Source organism: Homo sapiens, chromosome 10 (genome assembly GCF_000001405.40).
Source record: "Homo sapiens chromosome 10, GRCh38.p14 Primary Assembly".
NCBI classification, from domain to species: domain Eukaryota; kingdom Metazoa; phylum Chordata; class Mammalia; order Primates; family Hominidae; genus Homo; species Homo sapiens.
Window position 1 is genome coordinate 46,837,203 of NC_000010.11, and position 6,522 is coordinate 46,843,724.

A 6,522-nucleotide genomic window follows, 5' to 3' on the forward strand; every position below is an offset into this window, starting at 1 on the left:
GAGCCAGATCCTGGCCAGCCTGCAGTCATGCGAGAGCAGTAAAAGCAAGTCCCAGCTGACCAGCCAGAGCGAGGCCATGGCCCTGCAGTCGATCCAAAACATGCGTGGGAACGCCCACTGTGTGGACTGTGAGACCCAGAATCCTAAGTGGGCCAGTTTGAACTTGGGAGTCCTCATGTGTATTGAATGCTCAGGTATCCACCGCAGTCTTGGCACCCGCCTTTCCCGTGTGCGATCTCTGGAGCTGGATGACTGGCCAGTTGAGCTCAGGAAGGTTATGTCATCTATTGGCAATGACCTAGCCAACAGCATCTGGGAAGGGAGCAGCCAGGGGCAGACAAAACCCTCAGAAAAGTCCACGAGGGAAGAGAAAGAACGGTGGATCCGTTCCAAATATGAGGAGAAGCTCTTTCTGGCCCCACTACCCTGCACTGAGCTGTCCCTGGGCCAGCAGCTGCTGCGGGCCACCGCTGATGAGGACCTGCAGACAGCCATCCTGCTGCTGGCACATGGCTCCCGTGAGGAGGTGAACGAGACCTGTGGGGAGGGAGACGGCTGCACGGCGCTCCATCTGGCCTGCCGCAAGGGGAATGTGGTCCTGGCGCAGCTCCTGATCTGGTACGGGGTGGACGTCATGGCCCGAGATGCCCACGGGAACACAGCGCTGACCTACGCCCGGCAGGCCTCCAGCCAGGAGTGCATCAACGTGCTTCTGCAGTACGGCTGCCCCGACGAGTGCGTGTAGTATCTGTTTTATTTGACTGCAGTCTCCTTGGTGCAAAAACAAAATGGGAAAAATAAGGATAACTCAGAATTTCAAAAGGAAATCACAAATTCAGCTAGTAATAGCATTTTCAGTACTTTTCGTAAACTAAGTAAATACACAAAATGTTGATTTTTCTGACCATAAGACATATTTTATGTCCTTTTGCCGAGGTGGATGTGTTAGTCTCAGGCCCTCCTGGCCACATTGCCCAAGTCACACAGGCTTCTGTATTATGTATTTAGATAAAATGTGTGAAAATATATTTGAAAAAAAGTTCATAAATATGCATTGATTTTTGTACACATGGCACCTCTTTTTCATTTTTATTTTTATTTTTTTTTTGGACGATGTTTTGCTCTGTTGCCCCAGCTGGAGTGCAGTGGCGTGATATCTGCTCACTGCAAGCTCTGCCTCCTGGATTCACACCATTCTCCTGCCTCAGCCTCTCAGGTAGCTGGGACTACAGGTGCCTGCCACCACACCTGGCTAATTTTTTGTATTTTTAGTAGAGACGTGGTTTCACCATGTTAGCCAGGATGGTCTCGAACTCCTGACCTCGTGATCCACCTGCCTCGGCCTCCCAAAGTGTTGGGATTACAGGCGTGAGCCACCGTGCCCAGCCCATGGCACCTCTCTTAATTTATAAATTGAACAGGATGTGAAGTAATGTCAGCTAGTTGAGATAAGAGAGTTACAGTTCGGCTGGGCGCAGTGGCTCACACCTGTAATCCTAGCACTTTGGGAGGCCTAGGCGGACTGATCACCAGGTCAGGAGATCGAGACCATCCTGGCTAACATCATGAAACCCCATCTCTACTAAAAAATACAAAAAATTAGCTGGGCATGGCCGGGTGTGGTGGCTCACACCTGTAATCCCAGCACTTTGGGAGGCCGAGGCAGGCGGATCACGAGGTCAGGAGATCAAGACCATCCTGGCTAACATGGTGAAACCCCATCTCTGCTAAAAATACAAAAAAAAAAAAAAAAAAAAAAATTAGCCAGGTGTGGTGGCGGGCACCTGTAGTCCCAGCTACTCAGGAGGCTGAGGCAGGAGAATGGCGTGAACCCAGGAGGCGGAGCTTGCAATGAGCTGAGATTGCACCACTGCACTCCAGCCTGGGTGACCAAGCGAGACTCCATCTCAAAAAAAAAAAATTAGCTGGGCGTGGTGGCGGGCACCTGTAGTCCCAGCTACTTGGGAGGCTGAGGCAGGAGAATGGCATGAACTCAGGAGGCAAAGCTTGCAGTGAGCAGAGATTGTGTCACTGCACTCCGGCCTGGGCAACAGAGCGAGACTCGGTCTCAAAAAAAAAAGAAAAAGAGGGTTACAGATCATTGCACGTGGAAAATATTCCCAGCAGTAAACACTTCCATTAATGTGATCTACAGCTTTTAAAAAGGAGCATCTCAGAATAAGATGGTGGTACAATTTGCTTATTGAGAAAGGAAAAAAAAAAAACACATGAGTATATTACAAAGGGAAAAGAAGGAATGTGATTTCTCATGATTGAAAGCTTGATTTAGATTGCATACAGCTTTTGCTACCCAAGACCAAGAGGCTCTGGCAAGACAGGGTGGTTTTCCGAATGCCAGACCGACGTGCCTTATGAAGGCAGCTGCCGATGGTTCCAGATGTAGAGAGATAGGTGATGCAGGAGGGAAAGCTGGATTGGAAAAGGGAGAGTTTTGTAGATGGGCTACGCTCATTGTGCCTTTGAAAGAGCAGAGCCGGCAGCCTGTAGTCATCATTTGGATATACAGGACTAGAGCATGAATCTGATGTAGAGCTACAGAATGAAGAGCAACAGCAGCTGTTTAAATACCGAGAAAGTGTGTAGAATGAAATTGGACAAGCCAAGCATGGTGGTTTCATGCCTTTAGTCCTAGCTACTTCGGAGGCTGAGGTGGGGGAATTACTTGAGCTCAGCAGTTTGAGTCCAGCTTGGGCCAGATGGTGAGACCCTGTATCTTAAGAAAAGAAAAAATAAGACCAGGTACAGTATCTCATGCCTGTAATCCCAGCACTTTGGGAGGCCAAGTTGAGAGGACAGAAATGAACCCCGGCTAGGTGCCAAGCACCTAGGCACACACCTCTTCTGCCACCCTCCTTGTGCCCTGTGTCCCCCCAGGGCCCTCAAGAGTGGGAGGAAGGGAAGGTTACAATGATTTCTCCCTCAAGAGTGGGAAGAAGGGACCTAGCACTCAGTGCTCAGTCTCCCAGGCTCTCTCCGGCTCCAAAGCTGGTGCAGCTCAGTGGGGCTCGGGGGACTGCGTGGCTTCAATACCCTCTTTTGGTCCGTCTCGGTGACACCATGGGGTCAAGCTTGACTGGGTAATCTGGAAGGGAGGGTCCCTCTGGATGGGACAGAAGCTCACAGCCATGTCTGCCAGCTGCCCCAGTGCCCACCTGGAGTGAGGAAATACCACTCAGGAGGGGAAACAGGCTCAAGGCAGGACGTGGGCACAGGTTGGTGGGTGAGGGGTGCCAGGGTGGGCATGGGGACAACAGAACATGCCAGAGGCCCTTGGTGACAGGGGACATGATGGATGATGATAAAATGGTTGGCTGATCCAAGGGGTCCCACAGGAGCTGGCGGGGGTGACTTGGGCCTGAGGGCTCTGGGCTGGAAGGATTTAAAGTGTACCCAGCTGATCCCAAAGGCATCCGGGGTTCGGAACCACTGATGTGGAGGGGCAGGAAGGGCTGGCCCAGGAGAGAGTCCTGGGGAACAGTTCCGGGAGGCAGAGGAGAGACCAGAAGGAATGGTGAGGGGCACTGGGGATCCCTGTAGCCAGGAGAGGAAGGAGAGTCAGACAGAATGTGGGTCATGGGCTGCAAGAGCTGGTGAGACAGGCCTGAGGAGGGGATGTGAGCACAGGCAGGGAAATGGCCACAGAGGGGCCACCCTCTCCCACAGCCTCACTGTGCCCCGTGGGCCTCAGCGGCTGTGTCTACTGCTCTTGGCAGCACTCCTTGGAGCGTGTCTCGGTCTCGGGGCTGGCATTTCTCTCTGGGCTCTGCCCGGGGCTCCCCACACTATGGCTCCTTTGAGGGAGCCCATCTCAGCTCACCTTCATAACTGGACTTTGGCCAGACCCTTCTGGAAGGGACCCACCCCCTCCCCCAAGACTCATTGTCCCCAGACACCCACACGTGGCTTGGTGTGGGCACGCCCCTATGTGCATGTGTGGGGAGCGGCTGAGCTTCTGAGAATGCCACCAGTGAGGGCACCTTTGTCCTGGCCCACAGGACAGGGCTCCCAGAAGGGTAGTGAGCCCGGGTGCCCAAAGGCCTGGAATGGGCCCTTCATCAGTCCCGGGGCACGGAGACAGCTTCCATCTTCCTCTCTGGAGGGCATCTCACAGCACCATGTGCAAGATGGCTCCCAGCTCTGGGGGCAGCTCTGGACAGTGGCTATGTGCCCCGGGCATGGCTGCCTCCCCTGGCCCAGCTGGTCCAGCTAGTCCCTACAAACCCCAGCCCACGCCTCCAGGAACAGCCTGGGGATGCTATGTGCTTAGAGCGAAGGGCACTGGACCAGAGGTCAGGACAATAAGTGCTTCGCATCACAGGACATTCTTGACTGTTACCTCCAAGGTTGCACTGGATGAGAAAACAAATCACTCCCCACCCAAGATGTGATTCCCTCAGGGCTCCAGGAGCCATGGGGGTTCTGGGAGTCCCATGGCAGCCTTCCTGAGATGAAGGGGCTGGTCCTGGACGTAGGATGTGTTTGCTGAATGGTGGGAAGGACACAGCCAGTTAGGAGGCGGCATGGGGAGGGTGGTGCTGGGGGAACATTCCTGGCAGGGACCCCAGGGTGGGCAAATCCTGGAGTGGCAAAAGTTAACCTCTGCCCAGGAGGATTCCTCCTCCTCTTGGCAGCCAACATCTCCTGGGGGCCCACGGGAGAGCAGGAACCTGCAAGCCCAAGAGACCTGGGGGATCGCAACTGTACTTCCCACAAGAGGTGTGTTTTGGGCAAATTGTCTCAACCCTGGAGGCTCCGTTTCTTATTCTCATACACCGAACCCATCCCTACTTCTCGGGAGTGATTAAGAGGTGTCTAGACATGGCCATTCCACTGAAGGGAGGATGCTGTCACTCTGCGTCCTTTGCTGAGCTCCTCATTGTGTCAATTGTGTACAAGCTGCACAATAAATGGAAGAGACACAATCTTTTTGATGTGATCAAGGTCTAGTAAAAACAGTGGAGAAACCCTGTGTCCTCTAAAAATACAAAATTAGCTGGGCGTGATGGCTCATGCCTGTAATCCCAGCTACTCAGGAGGCTGAGGCAGGAGAGTCACTTGAACCTGGGAGGTGGATGTTGCAGTGAGCCGGGATCGTGACATTGCACTCCAGCCTGGGCAACAAGAGCAAAACTCCGTCTCAAAAAAAAAGGATGATGAAAATGTCTGGGCATGGTGGCTCACACCTGTAATCCCAACACTTTGGGAACCCAGATGGGAAGATTGCTTGAGTCCAGGAGTTCAAAACCAGCTTGGGCAACATAGTGAGACCTGTCTCTCCAAATATACATACATATATATATATATTTATTTAATTATTTATTTATTTATTTTTGAGACAGGGTCTTGCTCTGTCACCCAGGCTAGAGTGCAGTGGCATGATCTCGACTCACTGCACCCTCCGCCTCCTGGGCTCAAGCGATTCTCCTGCCTCAGCCTCTCAAGTAACTGGGATTACAGGCACCTGCCACCACGCCCAGCTAATTTTTGTATTTTTAGTAGAGACGGTGTTTCACCATGTTGGCCAGGATGGTCTCAAACTCCTGACCCCAAGTGATCTGCCCGCCTTGGCCTTCCAAAGTGCTGAGATTATGGGCGTGAGCCACCATGCCAGGCCAAAAAAAAATTTTTTTTAAACTTAGCTGGGCTACTCAGGAGGCCGAGAGAGGAGGATCCCTTGAACCCAGGAGTTTCAGGCTGCAGTGACCTGTGATTAGGCCACTGCACTCCAGCCTGGGCAACAGAGCAAGACACTGTCTCACGAAAAAATATTTTAAAAAAGAATGATGAAAATGTAATATGTCATTTGGGAACATGTCCTAATAATGTAATAACATATATATGTAGAATAAGTTCATTTTTATAAAGCAAGCATATAATTGTATAAAAGTACAAAAAAATGGCCAGGCATGGTGGCTCATGCTTGTAATCCCAGCATTTTGGGAGGCCGAGGTGGGTGGATCACCAGAGGTCAGGAGTTCAAGACCAACTTGGTCTACTTAGTGAAACCTCGTCTCTACTAAAAATATAAAAAAATTAGCTGGGTGGGCATGGTGGCAGGTGCCTGTAATTCCGGCCACTTGGGAGGCTGAGGTGGGAGAGTTGCTTGAACCTAGGAGGCAGAGGATGCAGTGAGCTGAGATCGTAGCACTGGACTTTAGCCTGAGCGACAGAGTGAGACTCTGTCTCAAAAAAAAAAAAAAAAAAAAAAGAGTAGAATAAACCTGGTATCATATATGTAGCACGCATATTACCAGTGATCATCTTTGTGATTCTGTGGGAATATGGGAAATCCTCATTTTCTACATTACATATTTACATGATTCTTGAACTGAAGAGAAAACCAATACCGATATATTTTTAATTGTGGTTGTGGAGGGCAGTACTAGCTTATTCAAGATTATTCCTAGTAAAGGGCCACTCAAAATTTACTGATTTGAGACCTTTGTTATCATATGATAATTGAGAGCATTTGGGAACTTTTACAGCAAGTTGACATTGCCC